The 27,540-nt window shown below is 45.0% G+C and overlaps 2 protein-coding genes, 1 long non-coding RNA gene and 1 pseudogene across 4 annotated transcripts in view, besides 2 other annotated features; 1 reads left to right on the top strand and 3 right to left on the bottom strand.

Annotated features, from left to right (window-relative positions):
- The window catches only part of TDH (L-threonine dehydrogenase (pseudogene)), a 28,816-nt pseudogene extending 12,484 nt beyond the window's left edge, over positions 1-16,332 (bottom strand). Inside the window, exon 1 of the transcript NR_001578.1 lies at positions 16,250-16,332. The product of NR_001578.1 is annotated as an L-threonine dehydrogenase (pseudogene) (transcript). The remainder of the gene's footprint in view (positions 1-16,249) is intronic.
- Positions 8,140-8,763: an enhancer, noted in NCBI's record as "H3K27ac-H3K4me1 hESC enhancer chr8:11204715-11205338 (GRCh37/hg19 assembly coordinates)". NCBI's record gives its function as "activates a minimal SCP1, AML or CMV promoter by ChIP-STARR-seq in naive H9 embryonic stem cells {active_cell/tissue: H9 hESC(naive)}" and the evidence as "EXISTENCE:reporter gene assay evidence [ECO:0000049][PMID:30033119]".
- Positions 8,306-8,585: a silencer, noted in NCBI's record as "silent region_18928". NCBI's record gives its function as "represses an Ori minimal core promoter by ATAC-STARR-seq in GM12878 lymphoblastoid cells {active_cell/tissue: GM12878}" and the evidence as "EXISTENCE:reporter gene assay evidence [ECO:0000049][PMID:35858748]".
- TDH-AS1 (TDH antisense RNA 1) lies at positions 8,453-10,221 on the top strand. Its single transcript, NR_147705.1, has 2 exons — positions 8,453-8,672; positions 9,329-10,221. It is a non-coding gene; the product is annotated as a TDH antisense RNA 1 (long non-coding RNA).
- Positions 16,333-16,442: 110 nt separating the features above from the next.
- MTMR9 (myotubularin related protein 9) overlaps positions 16,443-27,540 on the bottom strand; it is a 54,711-nt gene continuing 43,613 nt past the window's right edge. Inside the window, exons 10-11 of the mRNA XM_047422125.1 lie at positions 19,193-19,285; positions 16,443-18,207 (exon numbers count right to left, since the gene is read on the bottom strand). Of these exons, the coding sequence (XP_047278081.1) occupies positions 19,227-19,285 (59 nt within the window). The 3' untranslated portion in view covers positions 16,443-18,207; positions 19,193-19,226. The remainder of the gene's footprint in view (positions 18,208-19,192; positions 19,286-27,540) is intronic.
- SLC35G5 (solute carrier family 35 member G5) lies at positions 23,609-24,957 on the bottom strand. The gene has a single exon (NM_054028.2). The coding sequence runs from the start codon at positions 24,860-24,862 to the stop codon at positions 23,846-23,848; it is 1,017 nt and encodes a 338-aa protein (NP_473369.1). The 5' UTR covers positions 24,863-24,957; the 3' UTR covers positions 23,609-23,845.

Here is a 27,540-nt window from a genome sequence, read left to right as displayed (position 1 = left end):
AAAGCTATGCTTTTAGATTCAGGAATCGAACTAAAGAGACTGCTGAGTTCGCCGATAGGAAGCCAGTCAAGGGCCTCCTGTGAGCCAGGCCCTGTGATAAAGGGATAAAGTGTTGCTCACACAGAGTCCAGCCAAACAAAGGCCAAACTGAGATTCAGAACTGACACCGCACAACGCTGACACCAGCTGGGATCTAATGCAAAAGAGGCGGTAACTGCACAGAGAACGCGCATATCACAGAGACAAAGTCGGTGGATCCTAGCAAAGGCTTTAAGTCTTGACTGCAACTGTTATCAACTTGTCCACACAACGTCTGAGGATACAAATGGGTCCCAGATTAAATACAAAGTGCCCTGTAAATCTTGTGTTAACACTCACGTTATGATGAACCAGCCTAGAAAAGCAGAGGGTTAAGATAAAAGGATAAAAAGTCCCGCAGCAATATTTAGTAAGCTGTGAAGGATTTTTGTTTTTCCATCATCTCTGTAGAGAGGGTCACGTAGAAAAGTCATTTTCTTATTGTTTCAAAGATCACATAATTTAATTTAGTCTACCTCCTCCTCCTCATCAGCTTCAATAGTACCAGCTGACCATGAAATCAGCCCTGGCCTTAGAGGTCAAGATGGTCCAGTCACATATGGCTTCAGACTGCCATGTTCTTCAACGGGTCCCCAGCACCCAGGCAGGCATGTCTTGAGAGTAAACCAGAGCTGCCCAGCTTGCTTTGCTGGTTCTAACAGCAACCCCCCCACCCTCCCTACAGGCAGGCCTACCACATACTCACACTGACCTGTGGCCTCTACTCACTCGCCCCCTGGAAGAGGAAGTCTCTTCCAACAGAAAAGGCAGGTGAGCTTCAAAGCCAATTCAGGTGTCCAGTCCCCTCAACCATCTTCTATTCTGCATTATAAAGGGAAAAAAAGTAAACAAACCACAGTTAGAGACATTTCCTGTAAGATATGAACTTACAGGAAGGTACTCAGTGCCTCAAGTAGATTTAAGACAGTGATTCCAAGTTAAATGCCGGAAGTAGCAGAAGCTTTCTTGCAATCCCTAATCATACCAAAACCCAAATTACAGAAAACAAAAGGAAAATAGTGTCTTTTCAAAACATACGCCTTTTCATACCTTTCTGGGTCATGAGGGTTTTGCTCTTTACTACTCCAAGACAAGACAGGTGGAACCTGCCTGGTGGCTTCTGTGGGGTTAGTGACTGGACCCACCAGGTGCCCAGCATCTATAAGACACCTAAGGCCCTTCACCCCAGCTAATGTTCTCAAATAAGCGAGTAGAAGAGAACCTTCTCACCATGGCACATCTCTGCTTTTACTGCACAGGCCCAAAGTGATGAGGCAGGTGTCCAGGATGGGCCACATTACGGGAAAGGCCTGAGCTTTTCCTCAAGCAACCCTTACAGGAACACTAACTGTAGCCACTGCTGGCACCTGAAACCAGGTAAGCACTTGGATTCTTTTTCTTTTTTTTTTGAGACGGAGTCTCGCTCTGTCGCCCAGGCTGGAGTACAGTAGCGCGATCTCGGCTCACTGCAAACTCTGCCTCCCGGGTTCACGCCATTCTCCTGCCTCAGCCTCCCAAGTAGCTGGAACTACAGGCACCCGCCACCACGCCCAGCTAATTTTGTTTTTTTTTATTTTTTTTAGTAGAGACAGGGTTTTACCATGTTAGCCAGGATGGTCTCAATCTCCTGACCTCGTGATCCACCCACCTCGGCCTCCCAAAGTGCTGGGATTACAGGTGTGAGCCACCGCGCCCAGCCAACAACTTGGATTCTTACAGTCACTTATTTCAGCAAGTGCAAAGGGATATTGAGGAAGCCCAGAGACAACATTTCCCAGAACATTCGAGACTGAAAGACAATTCCAATTCCCGAAAGCAAAATAATGAATGGTCACAGTTAAAAAGGCTTTTGTTTTTTTTTTTTAATTTAAAAATTGAAAAGACTGGAACTGCGGGGGAAAGGAAACCCTAAAGATATAAAACAGGTACAAATGTATTCATCTCTTTCTCCACAAAGGGAAAGCATGAAGGAGGCACCCAACAAATTGTTAATTGAATGTGAAGTTTTAGTTCAACAACACGGACAGTTCGTAATGGAGTTGGTTCTTCTTATTCCACTATTATAAGTACCTAATATTTTTTGCTGTTTATATGCCAAAAGCTGGTGAGTGCTTCACAGCACTACCGCAAGCACCACTCCCCTAGAAAACCTACTTCTTAACCACCGCGCAGCAATACTGCCTCTATTACAGAATCGCTTTAACAATACATAGGTATTAAAAACAAAAATAAATTTAAAAACCCTCCAACCATCTACAGCATGTAGCTTTTCCTCTTACTCCTGCCAAGTTAAACTTAATACTCTTCAGGCAGAAGTTCTCTAACTTTTTGATCTTAAAACTCCTTTATACTCTTAAAAATGGAGAACTCCAAAAAGCTACTGTTAATGTTGGTTATATCTATTAATATTTAGTGTTAGAAAACAAATAAATGTTTAACACCTTTATTAATTCATTTAAAACCGATAAACATGTTAACATAAACATCATTATGAAAATAACTATATTTTCGGGAGGCTGAGGCAGAAGAATTGCTTGAACCGGAGATGTGGAGGTTGCAGTGAGCCGAGATGGTGAAACTGCACTCCACTCCAGCCTGGGAGACAGAGCAAGACTACATCTCAAAAACAAACAAACAAACAAACAAACAGTTTTCCAATACAAAAAATATTCAGTGGAAGGAGTGCCATTATTTTAAACTTTATACTTCTCTTTGATAAAATAAAAAAACTGGATTTTCATATCTGCTTCTGTAACTTGTTGCTCTAATTGAAAAAAAATCCAAACAGCAGTGAAAACAGGAAATGGTATTTTATTCATTTTTTCAAATAACTCTGGATGTTTATCTTTGCTACCACTCCAAAACTGAATGCATCAGTCTTCTTAAAGGTTAGTTGTGATGCAGAATCTGAAACCTTATCAATGAACTTTTTGTACTTTTCTACATTAAAACTTACTTTAATGCTTTAAAGCAATGGTCTCCAACCTTTTTAGCACCAGGGACCAGTTTTGCGGAAGACAATTTTCCGTGGACTGGGAGGAAAGGGGGTGGTTTCGGGATGATTCAAGCACATTCCATTTATTGTGTACTTTATTTCTATTATTATTGCATTGTAATATAAAATAATTATTGGTTCAGCAACTTATGCACATTGTCCAAATATTAACACACTTCACTATATAATATTAAAAAGTCCTACTAGGTAATATCACCACTGGTCTCATCAGAAAATTCCTAAGTATGGGGAAGCTGTCAAGCTCATGGTGGTAAATAGAAATTAATTGGCAACAAACACTGTTAGTTGTTTCCTTGAAGTGACAGGCTCACTTCGTTCATGTTTTAGAATATGTCTGGCAATGATCCAAGTATGAATACTCATTGTTTGTCAGTCTGTCAAGCAAAAATGGTTTTCTATTAAGAAAAGTGGCCAGTTCAGCTCACAATTCAATCACACACTGCTTTACCTGAAGACAACCATCACACTTTGAAATATGTCACAGAATGCTTTATGGGCACTTTCCTACACTATACAGCATATCAAAGAGATGCATACTCAGAAGTCAAGATTTAATCCAGACAGTCATTTTTACTGTTTCATCGGGACATTCTTAAGTCAGGCTGGCAATTTTCTCTTATTTTTTATTGAAAGCACAGGGCAGTAAAGAATACAGTGACGACTAGAACAGCCTGGTACCATCTGCCTTGATTTGCACAAAGGCACCAGGAGTTTTACCCAGCATTGCTCTGGCACCATCAATGCAAATTCAATGCACTTGTTCCAGAATGAACCACTAAATTCAAAAAAGTTATTCAACACTTTGAATATCTCAGCACTACTCATGTTTGCTACCAAGCATTCACTAAAAAGATACTCTCTATTGTAAAGATAAAGGATTGTATATTGTATTACATATTACAATAAAAAGATTATCTAAAAAGGTATTGATTGGTTTGGTGCTGATACCAGAAGAATACAAGCAAAATGGCACCTCTAGTCTTTCTTCCATTTGTAAGGCAGAAATACACTTCTACAGTCAATATACTAACTGGGTCTTCACGTTTCAGCTAAATCTTTAATTTGGCAGATTACTGTATCATTGGAAAGTTGAAGTGCTATGAGCTCTTTCAATGCTTTTTCATCTAAACAAGCCTTTATCGTGTGTTTCTGCGACCAACGCAACTTGATAATTTACCCTGCTTTATGCTTCAACTTTGTCGGTTTCAGTTTGAAAAGCTATGACAAAAATTTCTGGCTTTTAAAAAGCTCATTACATCCACACTTAAACGATTCAATTCATTTTTCTTTAGAGGACTCTGAATGGTTGGTCTCAAAATCATGCTACTGGCACCATAATACCATTGAAAATGGTTCTCTGGCATAAGATTCATAAGACCAATTACTAACAGCTATAAAGCTGAGGAAAGCTTTCACCTTGCCTTAGTTTTGCCCATTTCTCTGGAGTAAATTCCTCCCTTTCATGATTCAGAAACTCTGACATATTCATTTCATTTTTTCAGCGTTTTAGGCATAGGTAGTGCACCTGGGAGCTGAAAAAAATCAACTTTTCTAATATCCCCCTGTTAAGCCAATAATCTATCCTTAAATACAAAAATACACAAATATCCTTTTATTTTAGAATAAAATATTACATTCAAAAATAATTTTATACCATTTGAAATTTTAGAAAGGCTTTCCAATCAAGACTACAGAGTGTACTTTTTGTTGTGTTTTCATATAGGCACAGAAAACTCTGGGACTTCAAATTAATAACTTATTAAAAGAAAATGAGGTCACAGATATAACAGGTCTAAGTGAAGACAGCCAGTGAGTGCACAGTAGAAATACTAAGTGCAAATTGAGTTCATCTCTGAAAATGCAGATACTTTTATCCTAACCCTAACACCTTAGAAGACTGAGAAACAGAAGAATACACAAGCACAAATCCCATTAGTCATGACAGGCAAAGCTCTTTGCAAGTCATGTAATCTCTGGGCAACTCACTGCACACTTGTGAGAGAAAGAATGAAAAAGGTAAATAACACCTTAGTATTCTTTTCAAAAATAGTTTTGTCCTCATGGACCCTACAAAAGGTTTCAGGGATCCTCCACAGTTCCCCAGATTACAATTGGAGAGCAGTTGTTCTGAAGTAAAACTTTCTTTGCCAAGCTACATACTAAATTTACATAGAGAAAGCCATCAAAGATGATTTTCAGTCCCTCCTACCTAAAGACCAAATGATAGCCCATACTTTCTTTCCCAAGCACCTTGTTTACTTTCATTGCAAGGGACAAACAGGAAAAGGTTAACATAGTCTTCTCCACAAATAATGAAGCACTTTCCCAACCTGGGCCTCTCTGGGTTGGTCATGGAAGGTCATGACTTCTTCCATGCCCCTGCATATCCACTTATCTGCATTAACAGCAGCAGCAGTCACACAGCAGCGCCATCTGGAAATGAGGGGGCGATACAGATACTGACTCATGGCTCAGCTGGCTTGAGTGATTGCTTCCACATGGGTGGGTGGTGAAGGTGTCAAGAATATGAAGGTCTCTAATTTGGGCGCTGCAAGAATGGGCTTTCTAGAGAAGCAGCAGGTCAGGTGAGAAGACAAGTGAGTTTGGTTGTGGACCTGCTGGGTTTAGGTGCCTCTCCCGGGAAGTTGTGAAGCGTGTTCGTACTCACTCAACGCTGTGTCTAAGAGGCAGACAGTAAGGGGAAACCATCAGAGGTTTACATCTCAAAAAATCAAATGATCCTGTTCTCAGGGGAAAAAAGTTACTTCAGTTTATTGGGGTGTGGCGGTGGGGGGTGGGGAGGGGACTTAATTCAACTATGATTGCTCTAAAAATAGATAATTTTTTAGATATTAAGGAAACTTCCACCCATAATACCGAAGGCGACTAGATACGCAACATCAGTTTTCCTCAATGTTCTTGCTGTCATGAGATCTCCTAACATTTCTGGCTGTAATTACTCTTAGGGATGGAGATAGTAAAAGATGTATTAAGTAATGTCTTTAACAATTAAGCGGGAAACTAAGATATCCAGCCTCCAATAGATGAACGGGTAAAGAAAATAGGGTCTACAAATACAATGGAAGTTTTTCAGCCTTAAAAAAGAAGGTGATTCTGACACTTGGCTACAACATGAGTGAAGCTCAAAGTCATTAGGCTAAGTGAAATAAACCAGTCACCAAAGGACAAACACTGTATGCCTCCACTGACGTGCATTATTTAAAGCACTCAAAAATTCACAGAAACATAAAGCAGAAAGGTGACTGGCTGCCAAGGGCTGGGGTAGAGGCAGAGAAATTAGTGTTTAATTAGCGCAGAGTTTCAGTTTGATGAACAAGCGCTGGAGATTGACTGCACAACAGCGTGAATATACTTAACGCTACTGAACAGTATGCTTAGAACTGTTTAGGATGGTAAATCTAATGTTACGTGATAGGAATCACAACTACAACCTACAATAGAGAAAAAGTTTTACAGTGTTCAGCACCAAGAAGTGACCTGCATGCATATATGTATATATGTATCTGAAGAGTGAGAAAACTCGCCTAACATAGATCAATATTGCCCCCAGAGACCCAGCAAACTCCAACCCCCCCAGCCCTTGTCCTCTCTCCGCCTCCACTTGCAAACGTGCTTAAACCTATTACTCTCCCACTGCCCGCTCCTTCCTTCCAGCCTCAGGGGTCTGCAGGAGCATGTACGCTGCTGGTACCTTCATGCCTAGCCCCTCACAACGGGCCTTCCCTGCTCTGGACTGGGTGATAATTGCCCAGTTTACAACTTCCTGGCGCCAATGCCCCCTGCCCCCTCCCCACTTCTAACTTAATACTTATATGTCCATGCCCACCTTCATTTTCACTGCGTTCCCCCACTCCAATCTTATTCTGCTTTAAGGAGCAAGAAGGTTTACCAGACGCATTTTCAAGGCAGTCTGGGCTTTAAAACCTCTGACTCATTACATCATCATCATCACCAATGCATCCTCTTAATAGTAATGATCCAAGGAAAAATCAGGCGCCTGGTAACTACGGAGCGTTGGTGAAGCATCTGCTTTCCTGAACTCTTCTTAAACCCTCACAGCAACCCTGAAGCTGGGACCTTTTCCCCATTGTTCAGAATCCACTGACCCGCCCAAGGTGAGGCAGTTACTAACTACCAAGTGAGGTAGGTCCACCGTGTCCCATACCCTCTACTTCCACCACCCCGACTCTTCCCACTTAAGAGATGAGATCAGATGCCTAAGAAGAGACAAAGAGGAAGAAACACCCCCAGGGCCACGCAGGGGGCACCTTTCCTGGCAGCCTGCACCCCTCCCCAGGGGGAGAGCACGGACCAGCCAGGGGGTCGCGGCCCGCGGCCCGCCTAGCTGTGTGCGCCTGGCTTCTTGCCTCGCCAAATCTCAAGTTTCCGCGTCCTCAGAAAGGGGGCAATCACCATGCCATCCTAATAGACTGTTGAGAGCGTTTAATAAAAGCAGTCAATCTATGAAAAGCACTGTGCAAACTGCGCGGTCAGTGTAAAGGCTCAATCCACATTCGCTTTCTCTCTCTCTCTTTTTTTTTTTTTAAACTCTCTGGGCTGGTAAAGTCTGAACTTTACGTGGGGATGATCTGAAAGCTAGAAAGGATCGAGAAAAATCCCAAAGCTCTAAGCCTGAGCTAGGGAGGGTCTCAGAGGGAGGTCTGACTGCAGACCGGGAGTCTTCTCCTCCCGTGCGCCGCTGCCCGGGACGAGAAACCCGTGGGGCATCCAGGACTAGGACACGAGGTCTCAGCCTGGGCAGGTGGACAAGCTGTGGGGTCCCACCCTCCGCAGGCGATGGCTTCCCAAAGTCTGTACAAACCGGTTTCGCCGGGCCGGCCATGCCCGCCCCTCTTCTCGGCGTGGGAAGCCCTTTCAAAAGTGGAGGGGAGCGAGTGTCGCGCCCTGCCAACCCCGACTGCGCCTGGGCCCTCCCCGCGCCGGGCTCCGGAGCCGCCCCTCCTGACTCTGCGACCACGGCCGGGGACCCTGCGCGCGCCCGGGAATGCAGAGTCTCCAGCGCCGCGCAGGGCTCGCCCCGACCTCGGCCGGCCCTGGGCAACCCGCTCCGCGGCCAGTCCCCACTCCAAGATGTGGCTCGGCTCCCACCTCCGCGGGGGGGAAATGTCGGGCGACCCCCACACTGACCTTCCTGCGCACCCAGCGCAAACTACGAACCCAGAGTTGGAGCTGCCCGCAGACCCCGCGCAGCCAGACCCCGCGCCTTTATCCCGCCCCGCCCCGCCCCGCCCGGCGCACCAATCCCCGGCCGAGGAGGGGCCGCGTGGCGCCGCGGGGGGCGGGCCGCGCACGCCCCCCGCAGGGAGGACTCAGGGACAGTCAGGGCCCCGGGAGAGTCCGCGCGCATCGCCCGGCTCCGCGGCGCCAGCCATGGCGTCCGTGCGTGGCCCCGCCAGGGATGGGGCGACGCGGTCAGAGCCGCACGCGACCGAAATCCGCACTCTGGAGCCGCAGAGCGCGCGGTCTTGCTGTTTAGCGGCTCCCTGGCAAGTGACGTGGGGAAGAAACGCAGGGCGCAGGAGAGACAGCTGGAAAGGTTTGCGGTGTAGCTGGCCCAGGATTGAGGGTCTGGAGGTCGGGTGTTGGAAGACCTTGAGCGAGGCACTTCTTGGCCTCCCCAGCTGGGAGGCATCGCTGAAAAATTAGGTGACCCCCAAGACGGTAGACCAGCAGAGTCAGCGTCACCTGGGCGCCGGTTGGAAATGCAGATTGGCAGGTCCCACCCCCAACCCCTCCCGACTTGCTGAGTCAGCATCTCTGGGGGTGGGGCTCGCGCGCCCCCAGCGGGACGCCGGTGCGCGCAGTAGCTTAAGAAGCTGGGTCCAAGGCGCTGGTTCTCAAACTCCGCTGCATATTGCAATCACCTGGGAGCTTTTTAACCTCCAAACGCCCAGGCTGCCCCCGGACCAAATGACAGAATCTCCGGGGCTGGGGGGGACGGGGATAGAGAAGCCCAGACCTAAGTATTTTTTTAAGCTCTTAAAGCGATTCCAGTGTGCTGTGAAGGTTGGACCCACGGTGTGGTCTCTGGACAAAGCAGCCCCCACTCCAGACCTACCGAACCAGGGAATCTGCATTTTAACAGGATCCCCAAGTGACTTGCAGGCGCCTTCGGTTTGGGAGAAACAACTCTAAGGTGTCTTCTGACATTAACAATCTGTGATTTTGTGAAATCTGTCTCGTTTTGTTTAGCGGGCTAGCCAGGCCCCGTTTTCTTCAGCTTCTCCCTTGACTTGATCCCTGAAGATGGCTCTGCCTCTGGCGCCCTTGAAATATGTCGACTAGGTCATGATCACCGTGCATTCTGCTCAGCGTAGTCTCCCCGCCTGAAGTGTTATTAATGCAGTCTAAAATGACTACGGTTCTGCGGTCTACCGAACTGCCCACGGAGGTAGGGGTTTCAGACTTTTGGCATCTCAAGAGACTTGAGATTACCGAGACCACGATACCCCCAGAGACGTGACGAGATGGGATCAAGGCCACGGGGGACCAGAATGCTGACCCAGGCAACCTGTCCCTGCCTCGCTGCCCTTTGTAATACTCCTTATCATATCATGAGGAGCTATTTTCCGTTCTCCACAAACTTGGTGGTGGATGGAAGAGGATATCAAGCTCACCTTGAGTGGGATTGAGGTAGGAGGCGGGGCTCAGACACCAGACCAGATTGAGGACAAACTAAAGCAAGGTCAGGGCCAAAGCAGCTTTCCAACAGATAGGACCACCAGGGTGCCACGTCAGTTTACCGTTGCCATGTCAATACCAGGGAGTTACCGCCCCTTTCCGTGGCAGTAACCCAATAATTACCACCCCTTCCCTAGAAATTTCTGCATAAACCGCCCCTTAATCTGTATGCAATTAAAAGTGTGTGTGTGTGAGTGTGTGTGTGTGTGTGTGTGTGTGTATGTGTGTGTGTGTGTGTATATATATATATATATATATATATATATATATATATATATATATATATATATATAAAACTGCAAAACTGCCCTGAGCTGCTCCTCTCTGCCTATGGGGGAGCCCTGCTCTGCAGGAGCAGTCACGGAGCTGTAACCCTGCCTCTTCAATAAAGCTGTTTTCTTCTACCTCTGGCTTGCCCTTGAATTCTTTCCTGGGCAAAGCCAAGAACCCTCCTGGTGGAAGCTCCACTTTGGGGCTCACCTGCCCTGCATCAGGATTACAGGTGGGAGCGTTGCGGAGTAGAGCGATCCGCTGACACTGCCTCTGGTCTGCATTGGGGAATGGCGGCCGGTCGGGCGGGGTCACAGACCATAGCTTCAAGCTTTGTTCTTGGGGATTCCAGGGACTGAAAAGTGGGTGCTTTCTGGCTACCTAGCATCCACTTCCTCTCTTCCCCATGCAAAGAGGCTGAAGTGAATGGCGTCAGTCCTCGCCCTCCTCAGTCAAGGGGCAGACACTATCTGAGATTTAAATCCTGTCCCCACTAGCAGAGGCCCTCTGAGGCCAGTCCCGCCCAGGGACACTGCCAAGGGCTTCCTGGCTCTAGGACCGCCTTGGGTTTCTGCCCCTTCAGGCTGCTTCTCCAGTCCTCCCAGTGAGCCTGTGTCCTCCTCAGACCCTTTGGCTTCTGTCTGCAAAGTAAGTTTCTGTCCTAACTTAGGGAGTGATAATATTCAGAATTTCTCTCCATTTTCACGGTTGAGATTTTGGCGCTAAAATCACAAACCCAAATAAAAAAATAAATAAGAACAAATAGCCTCTAGTCTATATTCATATAAATAAATAACTGAATGAGTGACTAAATGGGGGGAAAGGGCAACTCTTTTTTTTCTTCGAGGCAAGATGTCACTCTGTCGCCCAGGCTGGAGGGCAGTGACATGATCTCAGCTCACTGCAGCCTGGCCGACAACTCTTTCTTGCAGAATTCCAATTAATACATATGGAAGGAATGAGAGACTTGGCAAATCACCACTGAAACACTACTGCAATCATTGCTGCAGGCAGGGTCCCCAGATGTGGCAAAATTAGCTGGGAAAGCCTAAGGAGAAGCAGGATATTTGCATAGTCTCAAAGCATCTCTCCCAAAATAGATGTTTATCAATAACAAAGGGAAAAATAGTAACTTTGCAGTGAACAAAACTGGCATCACCACCTTAACCACGTGACCCAGGTTTACCTCTCCAGAAACGTGTTGACAGAGGAGGCGCTGGGAAGAGCGCAGCACCCCGGAGGTTTTCCTGCCCAACAATGCACAATCTCATTATGAGAAAACATTAGACAACCCAAATGGAGGAACATTCCTACAAGGTAACTGACCAGTACCCTTCAGAAGTCTCAAGGTCACAAAAGACAGGAAGACTGAGGAACTGTCACAGATTAAGGAGACAATGACTCCTGTCACGTGAAATCCTGGATTAGATCTTGGGACAGAAAAAGAGCATCAGTGGAAAAACCAGTGAAACACGAATAAACTTTCTAGTTTAGTTCATAGTACAGTGCCCTTTTTACTTCCTTACAGATTACTTCTCCATTAGAGTTGTACTACAGTTATGTAAGAGGTTAATATAAGGGGGCACTGGGTGAAGGGTTCAAAGGAACTCTACTATTTTTGCAACCTTGTCTGTCTAAAATGATGTTGGCCAGGCATGGTGGCTCAAGCCTGTAATCCCAACACTGGGAGGCTGAGGCAAGTGGATCACTTGAGGTCAGGAGTTTGAGACCAGCCTGGCCAACATGGTGAAACCCTGTCTCTACTAAAAAAAAAAAAAAAAAAAATTAGTCAGGCTTAGTGCCACGTGCCTGCAATCCCAGCTACTTGGGAGGCTGAGGCATGAGAATCGCTTGAACCTGGGAGGCAGAGGTTGCAGTGAGCCAAGATCGCACCACTGCACTCCAGCCTAGGTGACAGAGCAATACTCCATCTCAAGAAAGAAAACAAACAAAAAAGATCTTAAAATAAAAACTTTAAAAAGTATCTTGATAAGAAAAAAAAAGTAAAATTTGTTACTTGGTAAAAATGACTAAAGAGCTTCCTGACAAATGTTCATATGTAAAATTTCACTTGGGAAAAATATACTTTGTAGAAATAATGACCACGAAAGTAGACTGACAATGGGAGAAACGGTTTAACGAAAGTCAACTGACAATGGGAGAAATGGTTTAAACCTGAAAGGAGCAAAATCACTGGATATTGAATCAAATCTTTGTTGCAAAATGTAATAGAAAGTAGTGAATTACAAATAAAATTCAGTAAAAGAAAAAGGGAAAGGAGGGAAAATGAAATCACTCAGAGAAAATCGATTACAGGCTTAAATTTCTAAATGAAAAGATTTTTTCTTCATATGCAATTAGAGAATGTGAATACATTTGTGACAATAAGTTCCTAAACAGGACATATCAAAACATTCTGTTTTAGTTTGTTTGCATAAGATACCTAGATGTATGGTTCAGGAAGAATGGACAAAATATGCAAATTCCATGCTTCATTTCAAGATCTCACAGTGCTTTAAAATATGAAGGGAGAGGCTTGTTTCTGTATAAGGTCTAATAGCATTGCCTGGACAGGGACTTATGCCCAGAATGACTAAAGAAATTAAGCCCCAGGGAACATACAAGTAAATTACATCATCAAGCCACAACTTCTGTCCTTAGTTATTTAATGAAAAAGTAAATAAATAAATAAAAGCACCAGGTCTCCCCTTCCAGTTGCAGGAGTAGAGGGTCTAGAACGATAATGTTCCATACAATAGTCACTAGCCACATAGGGCTATTAAATCCTTGCAACGTAGCTAGTTTGAACTGAAATGTGCTGTCAAACACCAGATTTTGAAGATATGGCGTTTAAAAATGTGACTATCCGTTAATGAATTTCATATTGTATGTTAAATGGAAAATATTTTTAGTAAGGTAAGTTAAATAAAACATATTACAATTCATTTCACCTGTTTTTTTTACTCTTGTGTGATTAATAGAAATTTTTAAATTATATATGTGGCTCATATTAGATTCCCAAAGAACAGCACTGACCTAGAAGTTCTGAGAGAAAGTTCTGTAGGCTATGGACACCCTCTTTCTCCGTTATTTGTAAAAGGCCAGCCTTGACCCTTCATTGGTCTAAGAATTACTTAGACCCTTGAAGATTGCCACCTTCCAGCAGAAGCAATGAAAGCAATGCTGGTAACATCTAAAATAAAAATCCAAGCCATGTCCTGTAATTCACAACCTCCTTCTAGAGAGAAATTACTATTTCTGAAACAAAACAAAACAAAACAAAAAACTCCTTCATGGACTCTTTGATTACGACTTGCTCTGATAAGCTAGTTACCTACTAACCTCCACCTCTTGGTTGACTGCTGATGGTTAGGAAGCTGGTGACGTTGAACCAGACTTTTTCTTTAAACATTTAGCCTAACAATTATTACCAAGTTCAGTAGTTATCAAACGGTGGCATGTAACAGAATCACCTGCAGAGCTTGTTAAAACACAGATTTCTGGTCCCTACGCCAGAGTTTTTTATTCAGTAGGGATAGGGTGGGGTCTGAGGGTGTATTTCTAGCGAGTTTCCAGATGATGCTCATGTTGCTGACCCAGGGACCATGCTCTGTGGACTGTTGCCCTAATAATTCACCTTTCCCATGAAATGTCCCTATCTAGAGTAAACCTTTGAATTGGCCTATTAGAGATCTTCTCCCAGTATACAAGATTGTAATTAAATGTTGGCACATAGCCATAAACAAATTATCTGACAAAACTTCTGTAACCCAAGTTTGTCTGGGCATGGCACGTGATAAGACATATGCCAGTCTTTGTGTCCTGCAGTTTCTGTCTCGTTGTCATTGTAATGGTTAATTTTCTATATCAACTTGACTGGGCCACAGGGTTTCCAGATATTTCTGGATGAGATTAGCATTTACAGTAGTGGACCGAATGAAGGAGAGTGCCCTCCCCAATGTGGGTGGGTCTTATCCAAGCCATTGAAGGCCTGACTAGAACAAAAGACAGGGTAAGAGAGAATTCACTGGCTCTGCCTGATGGTCATTGGGACGTTGGTCTTTTCCTGCCTTTAGACTTGGACTCAAACTGGAAATTAGACCATCGGCTCTCCTAATGCTCGGTCCTTCGGACTCATGCCGCAACACATCATCAGCTCTCCACGGTCTCCAACTTGTAAATCTTGAGACTTCTCAAACTTCATGACCACATGGCCCAATTCCTTATCCCTCTCTGGAGAAAGTAACACAGTCATTAAATGAATCTTAAAATTCTGACAGATAGGGAAGTCACCTTGATTTGAGCAAATCTCCAGAGTTAGCATTAGAAAACACTTTCTTGGCTAGGTGCAGTGACTCATGCCTGTAATCCCAGCACTTTGGGTATCCAAGGCAGGAAGATTGCTTGAGCCCAGGAGTTCAAGACCAGCCTGGACAACATGGCAAAACCCCATCTCTACAAAAAATGCAAATAAATAAATAAAAAGAAAGAGAAAAATAAGTCCAGGTGCCATGGCTCATGCCTGTAGCCTGTAACCTCAGCACTTTGGGAGGCCAAGGTGGGCGAATTACCTGAGGTCAGGAGTTCGAGACCAGCCTTACCAACATGGTCTCTGCTAAAAATACAAAAATTAGCCAGGCATGGTGGCTGGGACCTGTAATCCCAGCTACTCGGGAGGCTGAGGCAGGAGAATCACTTGAACCTGGGAGGCAGAGGTTGCAATGAGCCGAGATCACACTATTGCACTCCAGCCCAGGCAACGAGAGGGAAACTCCGCCCCTCCCCCACCCTGCAAAAAAAAAAAAAAAAAAGGAAGAAAGAAAAATAAGCCAGGTGTGGTGGTGCACACCTGTGGTTCTAGCTACTTGGGAGGCTGAGGTGTGAGGATAAATTGAACCCAGGGAGGTTGAGGCTGCAGTGAGTCATGATCATGCCATTACACTCCAGCCTGGGTGACAAGACGGAAACTCCATCTCAAAAAAACAGGAAAGCAAAGCAAAGCAAAGCCAGGTGTGGTGGTGCACACCTGTGGTCCTAGCTACTTGGGAGGCTGAGGTGGGAGGATCAATTGAGCCCAGGGAGGTCGAGGCTGCAGTGAGCCATGATCATGCCACTGCACACCAGCCTGGGCAATAGAGGGAGACCCTGTCTCAATGATAATAATAATTTCTTGATGAGAAAACTTGATATATGCATGATATTTATTGAATATTTGTATTTATGAACAGACTCAAGACATCCACCAGGTCAAAATGGTAATACAATGTGCCCTTTACTTACACTTCACATCTTAGCCCTTGTTGGTACCCCATACCCAACAGAGATCCTTTCCCCTAAAAAAGAGGAAATCCCCCTCCAGCAGGCCCCTGGAGAAGCCTTCCCCACACCACGCAGCCAGGCAACCATTGCTTCTCAATGCAGGTAGAAGACTCAGCTACATGGATACCTCCAGCACCATGATGTCCAATGCATGAGTCACATGGCCCAAGGCAGCGAGCTGCTTGTATGGCAGCTAGAACTCACTGCAAAGCCTCCTCCTGATCTTTGAGGCCCATCTCAAAACTGGCGGCCTTTCTTTCTTTTTTTTTTTTTTTTGAGACGGAGTCTCGCTCTGTCGCCCAGGCTGGAGTGCAGTGGCGCGATCTCGGCTCACTGCAAGCTCCGCCTCCCGGGTTCACGCCATTCTCCTGCCTCAGCCTCCCAAGTAGCTGGGACTACAGGCGCCCGCCACTACGCCCAGCTAATTTTTTGTATTTTTAGTAGAGACGGGGTTTCACCGTTTTAGCCGGGATAGTCTCGATCTCCTGACCTCGTGATCCGCCCGCCTCGGCCTCCCAAAGTGCTGGGATTACAGGCGTGAGCCACCGCGCCCGGCCGCGGCCTTTCAAGTCACCTGATAAATGGATCCAGTGGTATTCTCATGAGTGAATCTGCTGTCTATGAAATAGAAGAGGCCTAACCAAGTGCTGTGCCTGTCTCATAGAGGTAGGAGGTGCAAGCTTGAATAAGTTAATGGCTTTATCTTGAAAAGGATGCCTCAGCATGCCCAGACCACCAGCCCTCCAAAAACTCCACCAATGTGGCAGGCCCCTGAATCTTTTCTAGGTCTATCTTCCATCCTCTGGAATTCATGAGTCTTACCGAGGCACCCAACGTACTCACCACTTCTGCTCCCCAGCTCTGACAAACGTGATTCACCAACATAGGGAGCAGCCTGACGTTCCAGAGCAGAGGTCAGCAAATTTTCTGTAAGGGAACAGATTGTAAATACTCTATTTTATTGTCACAGCTACTCACCTCTGCCATCATAGAGTGAAAGCGGCCATAGACATTACTGTACATAAGCAAAGGAGTGTGTCTGTTCGAATAAAACTTTATTTACAAAAACAGGCAGCGGGCCAGATTTGGCCTACAGATCTGGGTTTGCTCATCCCTGTTCTATAGAATAGCCAAATGATTAAGGACCCTTTGGACTGTATTGTGATAGAGAATGAATAATTATTAAAGGCCGGGGGCCATATCATGAATGTATACTGACTCTTCCAAGGGAATAGTTTCTGAAAAGAACAAATTTGCCAGATAAATAGTATACCAATTGTCAGAGGCTTTGTAGGTCTGTTCTAGTAAAGGTGCAACATCTGGGCCTAGCAGCTGTTTGATTGGAGCTACCACTTAATTAAGATTATAATAGATCACTATCAACCACCATGACCTAACTGGATTTGCAGGGGTCAGACTGATGAATTAAAAAGAAATGTTAAGGGGATTGACACCCCTGCATCCTTTAGTCCTGGAGAATGGTGCTAATCTCTGCCACTGTGACATGGCCTTGCACAGGGGGCACACAATGTCCTATAACCTGGACACTATATGACCCTACTCTAAAAGCAGTCATGGTGGCATCAGGAGTCCCATGGCATTATCAGTTCAGATGTTATATCTAACAGCCCTCAAAAGAGCTATGGACTCCCTTCTTCCCAGCACAAAATTATTCTGGTAAATGACCACGTGTCTCTTTGGAGAAGGATTGAAGGAAATTGCTACTGTCTAAAGTTGCCATGGTGCTGCAGAGTCACTCCTTAAAAGGAACTACCTGTCTTCAATCCACAGACTCTGGGTCTTAGAATATTTCAGATTTAGAAACTGAGCAAAAAATGTAATTTTTCATCGTGCCAGCTGACGTCAGCCTTCAACTCACCCATTCTTGATCATATTTTGTATAAGGCAAAGCAGTGACCTCCTTGGCTGCCAGTCTCATCCATAGGAATGCCGTGGTCTATTGGCCATTACCACAGATCGCTGTGGAAAAGGTTCCCCTGGTCACCATTCCAGCTTTGCTTCCCATTACAGGAATTATGTCTACCTTTCCACTGAAGATTAATTGTTGCCATCTGTCCTCTGCTATTCTGAAATTCTATCCTCACCATTGACACTATGGAGCCCGGTTCAATAGAGCCACTTCCCCTACAACGAACTCCAGCCTACAAAGGTCACCACCACTGAGCTTCCCAACAAGGCCAGTGCCACCTCACTAGCACATTTCTTATTGCTATTATGATGGGAAGACCTCTGGACACTCCGGAGAACAACAGAAGCTGGTCCATATAATGAATTCATGCAATCATACCCACCTCCACGTGCCTTTTGACTCATTCTTCAATACTCTGCCGAGGAAGTTCTGGCATCCCCACTTCATTTACTAAAGACCATCATTTTTCCAAGCATCAGCTCCAGATGTCCTTGCCAGGACGCTAAATTCTGAGTCATGGGACAGTGTCTCCAAATCATTGCTCCTCCTTTCCCAATCTTTTCCCCACAAGTCCGAATGCTCCCTCAAGATCCATTCCCAGACATGTTCTCCTTGGACATATTAGCCAAGTCCTGAAGCTGCTGTGAACAATTCCTTGGGGAACTACAGCAGGAACCATGTTGAGATTTGATTCTATTTATATTCATTGTCATAGAATCCTTGAGAGGTGGTGGCAGTAAATCCTAGGAGGACAGGTACTATCTTGTGAAGACTCAACCTCAAGAGTGACATCAAGAAGACAGCAGAGTAGGAAGTGACAGGAATCTGTCTCTCTACCTTTACCGGAGCACATGAATTCAGTCACTGGTACCTAGAATGCAATGAGAGATATGGCAAATGTGTTAAAAATTTATTTTCTCAAGGATCATGAGAAATAGTTTGCTTTTCCCTAGCAGGACCGAGTCTACTTTCACAGTTTTGCCCCAGGGCTATGTCAACACTACTGGCCTCTGCCATATATAGAATGCAGAAATCTCAATTGTTTTGACATTCTTAGACTATCACACCGGACCACTTCATTGAATACATGAAGCTGATTGGATCTGATGAACAGGAAGTGACAAGTACCTGAGATGTCTGAGGAAGACAAATGCAAGGCAGAGGGTAGAGGAAAAACCCCACAAAAATTCAGGGCCCTGCCAATTTGATGAAATTATTGGTGAGTGATGGTCTGGAGAACGTTAAGATATCCAAGGTGAAAGAGAAGTTGCTGCACCTTGTACCACCTATTACTAAAAACCAAGTGCAGTGATGCATCATGACCCTTTTTGGATTTTGGAGGCAACATATGTCACATTTGAGTATACTTCTTAGAGCTACTTAAGTTACTATAAAGTAACCCAACAGTCTGCTGGTTCTGAGTGGCTACGAGAGCAAGAGAAGCCTAGGCAACAAGTCTAGAATGCAGTGCAAGCTGCATTGCTACTCAGCGATCTAGTGATATTTGGTGTCTGTGGCAAGTAAGAATGCTGTATGTAGCCTCTGACAAGTCCCAGTAGATAACAGTCCAGAACTCTAAGATTTTGCAGCAAAACAACGCCCCCTTCTGCAGATTACCATTTTTTCTTTGAAAAACAGCTTCTGGCTTGCTATTAGACCATGAGTCATCAAGAACTCCGGCAACCTGAGGTACTCATTATGAACTGGGAGTTATCTGACTTTCCAAGCTAAACAGTTGGATGCATACAATAGCAATCCATCCCAAGTGGAAATGGTATAGTGGATGGTGCTTGAGCAAGTCCAGAATGCACTAGAATGTTGTATGTGCAGGTGATTCCGATCCCTTTCACACTTACTTCTGCTGCATTGCCTGCTCTCGTTTAGCTGGCATCACTGGCGTCCTGAAGATTTCCTTATGACCGGCACACAGAGGAAGAAAAATATTGGACCTGTCGAGCAGAAATATTCCAAATAACTTTAAGGGTATATTTGCTTACTTTCCTGGCATTGGAGATGGCCAAAAAAGTACTTATCTACATCAATTCATGGACAGTGAATAATGGTTTGGCTGGCTGCCCAGGAAATTGTAAAGAACAAGATTGGAAGATTAATGACAAGGAAGACTAAAGAAGTATTTTAAATACACCTTTCAGACTGGGCATAGAGTGTGAAGATTTTATATTTCGGTGTGAATGTTCACCAAAGGGAATCTAATACAGAGGAGGTTTTCAATAATCAGGTGGACACGTTGACACAGCCTATGGGTCATAGAGCCAAAGGATCAGTCAGCCTCTTTCTCCAGCCACCCCAGGTCCTGGTAAATGGAACCAAATACAAAGTAGTCATGTGGTAGGGATGGAGGCTATGCATAGACTCAGCAACATGGACTTCCTCTGGGCAAGACCAATCTGGCTACTGCCACTGCTGACTACCCAACCTATCAACACCAGAATCTAATGCTGAGCTCTTGATATGGCACTCTTTTCTGAGGGTTGGAAGCAGCCAGCCACCTGGTAGAAGGTTGATTACATTGTACCTCTTTTATCATGAAGGAGTGATTTGTCCTCACCAAAATGTATATATTCTGTATGCAGCTATGCATTCCTTGTCTGTAATACTTCTGCTACCTGAGGATAGAATGTTATTCACTACCATGTTATTTCTTGTGAGTTTAATTGTGTCCTCCCCCCAACTTCACGTGTTGAAGTCCTAACTCCCAGAACATAACCTTATTTGGAAATAGGGTTATTGCAGATGTAATTAGTTGAGATGAGGTCATTAGGGTGCGATATAATCCAGTAAGACTAGAAAATAAAAGGGGAAATTTGAACACAGAGACATGCACACAGGGAGTATGCCATGTATAGATGAAGGCAGAGATCAAGGTAATGCTACTACAGGCCAATTAATGCCACAGACTGCCAGCAAAGTACCAGAAGCTAGGCAAGAAATACGGTCTTGATTAACGTGGCTTTATAATAAATCTTGAAGTTGAGTATTGTCAGTCCTCAACTTTGTTCTTCTCCTTCAATATTGTGTTGGCTATTATGGGTTTTGCTTTTCATAAACTTCAGAAGAAGTTTGTCACTATCCACAAAATAACATTTTGATTGAGATTGCATGGAATCTAGATCAAGATGGGAAGCACTGATATCTTGACAATATTGATTCTTCCCATCCATGAACATAGAATATCTCTATATTTATTTAGTTCATCTCTGATTTCCTTCATCAGAACTTCGTAGCTTTCTTCATGTAGATTTTGTATATATTTTGTTAGATTTATATCTAAGTACTTAATTTTGGGGAGCTGCTAATGTAAATGATATTTTTAAATGTCAAATTTCATTTGTTCATTGCTGACAGATAGGAAAGCAATTGAATTTTGTAAATTAACCATGCACCCTGCAACCTTGCTATAACTGTTTATTAGTTCTAGGAGATTATGGTTGCTTATTTTAGACTTTCTACATAGAAAATCATATCATCTGTGAACAAAGAGTTCTGTTTCTTCCTTCCCAATCTGTATACTTTTTCTGTTTCTGTCTCATTGCATTAGTTATAATTTCCCATACAATGTTGAAAGGAGTCGTGAGAGTGCACATGCTTGTCTTGTTCCTGATATCAGCAGGCAAGCTTCTCAACATTAAGTATGTTAGCTGCAGAATTTTTTTAAGATGTTCTTTGTCAAATTGAGGAAGTTCCACTCTATTCCTAGTTTACTAAGAGTTTTAGCATAAAGTTTTGGATTTTGTGAAAAGCTTTTTCTGCATTTACTGATATGACCATGTGGTTTTTCTTCTTTAGTCTGTTGATGTTATGGATTACATTAACTGACTGGCTGAACTGAAGGCTGATTTAACATTTAACATTTAAATCAGCCTTGCATACATGGGACATCATTCTTTTTTCCATTCCGTCATTGTCTGCCTTCTGATTGAAAAGTGATTACATTTAATGTAATCACTGATAAGGACTTCTGCTGTTTTGTTACTTCTTTTCTGTATGTTTTGTTACTTTCTTGCCCCCCATTTTCCCCATAATGACTGTCTTTTGTGCTTAGTTTATTTATTTTTGGTAGTGATATCTTTTGATTCCCTTCTCATTTCTTCTTGTGTTTTCCATAGATATTTTCCTTGTGGTTACCATAAGCATTACACATAACAACCTAAAGTTTAAACAGTCTAATCTAAACTTATTCCAAGTTAACTTTAATAGTATAGAAAAACGTATGCCTATACAGCTCTGTCCCACGCCCTTTGTTATTGATGTCCCAAATCTTTATACATTGAGTGCTCAATAACATTTATTTTTATGCCTGTCTTTTGATTCCTTAGAAAATAAAAAGTGGAGTTACAAGCCAAAATTACATTAATACTGTTTTTTTATGTTTGCCATTGTATTTACTTTACCAGTGTCTTAGTCCATTTTTCTGCTACTATAACAGAATACTACAAACTGGATAATTTATATACAAGTTTATCTGGCTCAAGGCTCTGGAAGCTGGGAAGTCCAAGAGCATGGTGCCAGCATCTGGTGAGGGCCTTTGTGCTGCCTCATCCCATGGCAAAAGGTGGAAGGACAAGACAGTGTGTGAGACAGAAAAGGACCGGGGCTGAATTTCAGAATCTTTTTTATCAGGAACCCACTTCCATGATAACTAACTCACTCCCATGATAATGGCATTAATCCATATATGAGGGCAGAGCCCTTATGACCTAATCATCTCTTAAAGGTTCCACCTCTTAATACCATCACAATGGCAATTAAATTTCAACATGCATTTTAGAGGGGACATTCAAACCATAGCAACCAGAAATATTTATTTCTTCACTCAGGTTTGAGTTACTGTCTACCATCCTTTCATTTCACCTTCAAGGACTCCCTTTAGCATTTCTTGTATGGCAAATCTACTGGTAACAAGCTCCCTAACATAGATTTATAATTGCTTTTTTATGTTTTTGTCTTTTAATTCCTATGGAAAATAAAAACTGATGTTATAAACTAAAGTTATAATAATACTGGTTTTTATATTTGCCCTAGAATTTATCTGTCGTGGAGATACTTCTTTCTTCATATGGGTTCAAGTTACTGTCTAGTGTTCTTTCATCTCACTGAAGGACCCCCTTTAGCATTTCTTGTCAGGCATATCTCGCAGTAACAAGATCCCTAAGCTTTTTAAAAATCTAGGCATGTCTTAATTTCTCCCTTATTTTTTGAAGGACAGTTTTGCTGGATATATAATTCTCAGTTGACAGGTTATTTTCTTTCAACATTTAAACTATATCATCCCATTGTCTTCTGGCCTCCATTAATTCTAATTAAAAATTAGTTGATAATCTCATTTAGGATCCCTTGTAATGTGATGAGTTGATTCTCTTGCTACTTTCAAGATTCTTTGTGATTTTTGATAGTTTTCATATACTGTGTCTTGGTATGAATCTCTTTGAGTTTATGGTATTAGAGGTTGTTGTAGAGGCTTCTTGGATTTGTACACTTATGTCTTTCATCAAATCTGGGATGTTTTCAGCCCTCATTTTTAAAACACTTTTTTGCTTTTTTCTAGGACTCTCATAAACCATATGTTGGTCCACTTGATGGTATCCTACAAGTCTTGAAGTCTATTCACTATTTTTATTCTTTTTCTTTATGCTCCTCAGAGTGGATAATTTCAATAATCCTATCTTCAAATTTGCTGATCCTTTCTTCTGCCTGATCAAAAACTCTACGGAAGGCTGGGCGTGGTGGCTAATGCCTGCAATCCCAGCATTTTGGGAGGCCAAGGCGGGTGGATCACAAGGTCAGGAGTTTGAGACCAGCCTGGCCAACATAGTGAAACCTCATCTCTACTAAAAATACAAAAATTAGCTGCGTGTGGTGGCATGCACCTGTAATCTCAGCTACTTGGGAGGCTGATGTAGGAGAATTGCTTGAACCCAGAAGGCGGATGTTACAGTGAGCTGAGATCATGCCACTGCACTCCAGCCTGTGTGACAGAGCAAGATTCTGTCTCAGAAAAAAAAAAGCAAAAAACAAAAAACAAACAAACTCTATCGAACCCTTCTAGTGAATTTCTCATCTCAGTTGTCGCACGTTTCAGCTACAAAATTTCTACCTGGTTCCTTTCTATAATTTTTATATTTTTATTGATATTCTCATTTTGTTCAAACATCATTTCTCTGATTTCATTTAGTTGTCTTTTAACTCTTGTGCATATTTAAGACAATTGTTTAGTCTTTGTCTAGTAAGTCCAAAGTCTGGGATTCCTTAAGGATAGTTCAATTAATTTTATTCCTGTAAATAAGCCAGATTTCTCATTTGTTTGCATGCTTTGTGATATTTTTATTATAACTGAACATCTCAATATTATAATGTGCTATGGAAGTTAGACTTTCACTCTTTCCTAGGATTTATTATAATTATTTTTTTTCTTTTATTTTTTTTTTGTCTTCAGTCTTTGTCTTTATTTATCCCTGTCCCTCCCAACCCCCGGGCTCCCAAGTTCTATCTCACTCCTCCACCTTCCCTGTCCTCTCACAGCTGAGGTTCCGGGCTGTAATGATGGCAATGCTGCCCAGCACAACCCCTGCCCCCATGATGTCAGAAAGTGCCACAGTCTCATGGAGCATATAATACTGCAGTATAAGGGCCACAACCACCTCGGAATGCAGGACAGCGCACACCAGGGCAGGGTGGGCCTTGGTGACCGCATAGCCCACACATGTGAAGGAGACCAAGGCGAGGATCCCCTCTGCCCCCACACAACTCCAACTCAGGAGGTCACTGGGCAACACGGGGGTCTGCAGCACAAAGAGGCCTGGCACACAGCCCAGCAGCCCCACCAAGCCAGATAGGAAGGCCACTGTTGGGAGGCAGGAGGGAAAGTGCAGAGAACGATAGACCAGAAGCCCCAGGGACAGCGCCAGGCCTCCCAGGAAAGCCTGCACATAGCCCAGGGTGGTGTAGACACCTGTGGTCCCCTCCTGTAGTGTCCAGAGTCCAGGTCCCAGAATGATGATTAGTCCTAGGATGCTGCCCAACAGTCCACACCACTCGTAGCCACCGAGACCCTGGCTCTCAAGGCAGAGGGTGAGGACAGCGGAGCATACGGTGGAAGAACCTTTGCGAACAGTGGCAGCGTTGCCAGCGGGCACCACCTGAACTGCACTGTAGGCACATCCAATGCTGAGGACGTTGAGCAGGGCACAGAAGCAGGCCCAGCCTCGGATGTCAGGAGGTCCCAGAAGGGGGTCGCCACGCAGTTTAAGTAGCAGGGCAATAGGGAGGTGGAAGAGGCATCGACAGATGAGCAGCTCCAGCGAGGGCAGGTTGGAACCCTGGTAAGCCATACGAGAAAGGGGGCCCACGAAGCCAGCAGGCAGGCCCCCACCCAGCAGGGCCACCAGCAGGCCATTGGTGGCACCAGAGGGCTGGCAGCGCTGGTGCCAGCGGAGGCTGGGTGGAGCGGAGGGCGGCGATGGGTGTGTGGAGTCAGGCAGGTTGAAGTAGGGGTGACTGCCAGCCATCTTTCCTTGGACTTTCTCCTCTCCTCCTGGCTCAGGGAGCCTGGGCCCCTCAGAGCTCCAGCCATTGTGACCTCATTGGAGTGCGGGTGGGGTTCTTCCCTGGAACTCTCCTGAGGTGGTAGCACGCCTATTTTCCCGCTGAGTCCAACTCTGCTTCTTTTCTTTCTTTCTTTCTTTCTTTTTTTTTTTTTTAATTGATCATTCTTGGGTGTTTCTCGCAGAGGGGGATTTGGCAGGGTCATAGGACAATAGTGGAGGGAAGGTCAGCAGATAAACAAGTGAACAAAGGTCTCTGGTTTTCCTAGGCAGAGGACCCTGCGGCCTTCCGCAGTGTTTGTGTCCCTGGGTACTTGAGATTAGGGAGTGGTGATGACTCTTAACGAGCATGCTGTCTTCAAGTATCTGTTTAACAAAGCACATCTTGCACCGCCCTTAATCCATTTAACCCTGAGTGGACACAGCACATGCCCCAGAGAGCACAGGGCTGGGGTCAAGGTCACAGATCAACAGTATCCCAAGGCAGAAGAACCCCTCCCAGTACAGAACAAAATGAAGTCTCCCATGTCTACTTCTTTCTACACAGACACAGCAACAATCTGATTTCTCTATCTTTTCCCCACCTTTCCCCCTTTTCTATTCCACAAAACCGCCATCGTCATCATGGCCCGTTCTCAATGAGCTGTTGGGTACACCTCCCAGACGGGGTGGTGGCCGGGCAGAGGGGCTCCTCACTTCCCAGAAGGGGCAGCCGGGCAGAGGCGCCCCCCACCTCCCTCCCAGACGGGGCAGCTGGCCGGGTGGGGGCTGACCCCCCACCTCCCTCCCGGACAGGGCGGCTGGCCGGTGGGGGGCTGACCCTCCACCTCCCTCCCGGACGGGGCGGCTGGCCAGGCCGCGGCTGACCCCCCACCTCCCTCCCGGACGGGGCGGCTGGCCGGGCGGGGGCTGATCCCCGACCTCCCTCCCGGACGGGGCTGCTGGCCGGGCGGGGGCTGACCTCCCACCTCCCTCCCGGATGGGGCGGCTGCCAGGCGGAGACGCTCCTCACTTCCCAGACGGGGCGGCTGCCGGGCGGGGTGCTCCTCACTTCCCAGACGGGGCAGCTGCCAGGCGGAGGGGCTCCTCACTTCTCAGACAGGGCGGCCGGGCAGAGACGCTTCTCACCTCCCAGACGGGGTCGCAGCCGGGCAGAGGCGCTCCCCACATCTCAGATGATGGGCAGCTGGGCAGAGACGCTCCTCACTTCCTAGACGGGATGGCGGCCAGGAAGAGGCGCTCCTCACTTCCCAGACTGGGCAGCCGGGCAGAGGGGCTCCTCACATCCCAGACGATGGGTGGCCAGGCGGAGACGCTCCTCCCTTCCCAGACGGGGTGGCGGCCGGGCAGAGGCTGCAATCTCAGCACTTTGGGAGGCCAAGGCAGGCGGCTGGGAGGTGGAGGTTGTAGCGAGCCGAGATCACGCCACTGCACTCCAGCCTGGGCAACATTGAGCACTGAGTGAACCAGACTCCGTCTACAATCCCGGCACCTCAGGAGGCCGAGGCTGGCGGATCACTCGCGGTTAGGAGCTGGATACCAGCCCGGCCAACACAGCGAAACCCTGTCTCCACCAAAAAAATACGAAAACCAGTCAGGCGTGGCGGCGCGAGCCTGCAATGGCAGGCACTCGGCAGGCTGAGGCAGGAGAATCAGGCAGGGAGGTTGCAGTGAGCCGAGATGGCAGCAGTACAGTCCAGCTTTGGCTCGGCATCAGAGGGAGACCATGGAAAGAGAGGGAGAGGGAACTCCTGGGCTCAAGTGATCTTCCCACTCCAGCTTCTGAGTAGCAAGGACTGCAGATGAGCACCATCATGCCTGGCTAATTTTTTTATTTTTTGTAAAGACAGGATCTTGTTATGTTTCCCATGCTGGTCTCGAACTCCTGGCCCTATGTGATCCTCCTGCCTCAGCCTTCCAGTGATTAACACAGACATATACACCAATGGAACACAATAGAGTGCACAGAAATGAATATGCATATGGTCAAATAATCTTCAACAAAGATACCAAGACCACACAATGGGAAAAGGACAGTCTCTTCAACAAAGTGTTGGGAAAAACTGAATATCCATATGCAAATAATGAAATTGGGCCCTTACCTTACACGGTATACAAAAATTAATACAGAATGGATTAAGATCTAAATGTAAGATTTTAAACTATAAAACTCCTAAGACTGCTTTTTCCCTCCAACAGTGGTGCTGTTTCTGGATGGATCATATCAGAAGGCACATGATGTTGATATGTCCCATTACTAATGATGTTAACTTTTCCTGAAATAAGGTGATATCTACCAGTTCCTTTCACTATAAAGTTAGTATTTTCTCCTTTGTAACTAGTAACTATTTTGTGGAAGGCTATTTGGAGATTATATTCTGTTCTTCACAAATTTTCACCTGCTAGTTTTGCCATTCACTGTTAGGCATTGCCTAAGTCAATGATTACTGTAATAATATGCCAAATAGTGGCTTTTTAATTCCATTTTCTTTCTACATTTAATAGCTGGCATTCTACTCTAAGAAAGAGCTTTCCTTTTACCCTCAATGAGTCATGTGTTTATATTAATACATACTAAATCAATAATATGTAGAATACATATTCCTAATTCTTGGGAGATTCCTGTGAAGTATTTAGAAGAC

This window comes from Homo sapiens, chromosome 8, assembly GCF_000001405.40.
Source record: "Homo sapiens chromosome 8, GRCh38.p14 Primary Assembly".
Classification (NCBI taxonomy): domain Eukaryota; kingdom Metazoa; phylum Chordata; class Mammalia; order Primates; family Hominidae; genus Homo; species Homo sapiens.
The sequence above is the reverse complement of the archived record's forward strand: the minus strand, read 5'-3'. Positions and strand labels throughout refer to the sequence as shown.

Excerpts from the sequence above, each read along its gene's own strand:
- SLC35G5 (NM_054028.2), bottom strand. The coding sequence starts at position 24,862 with ATGGCTGGCAGTCACCCCTACTTCAACCTGCCTGACTCCACACACCCA.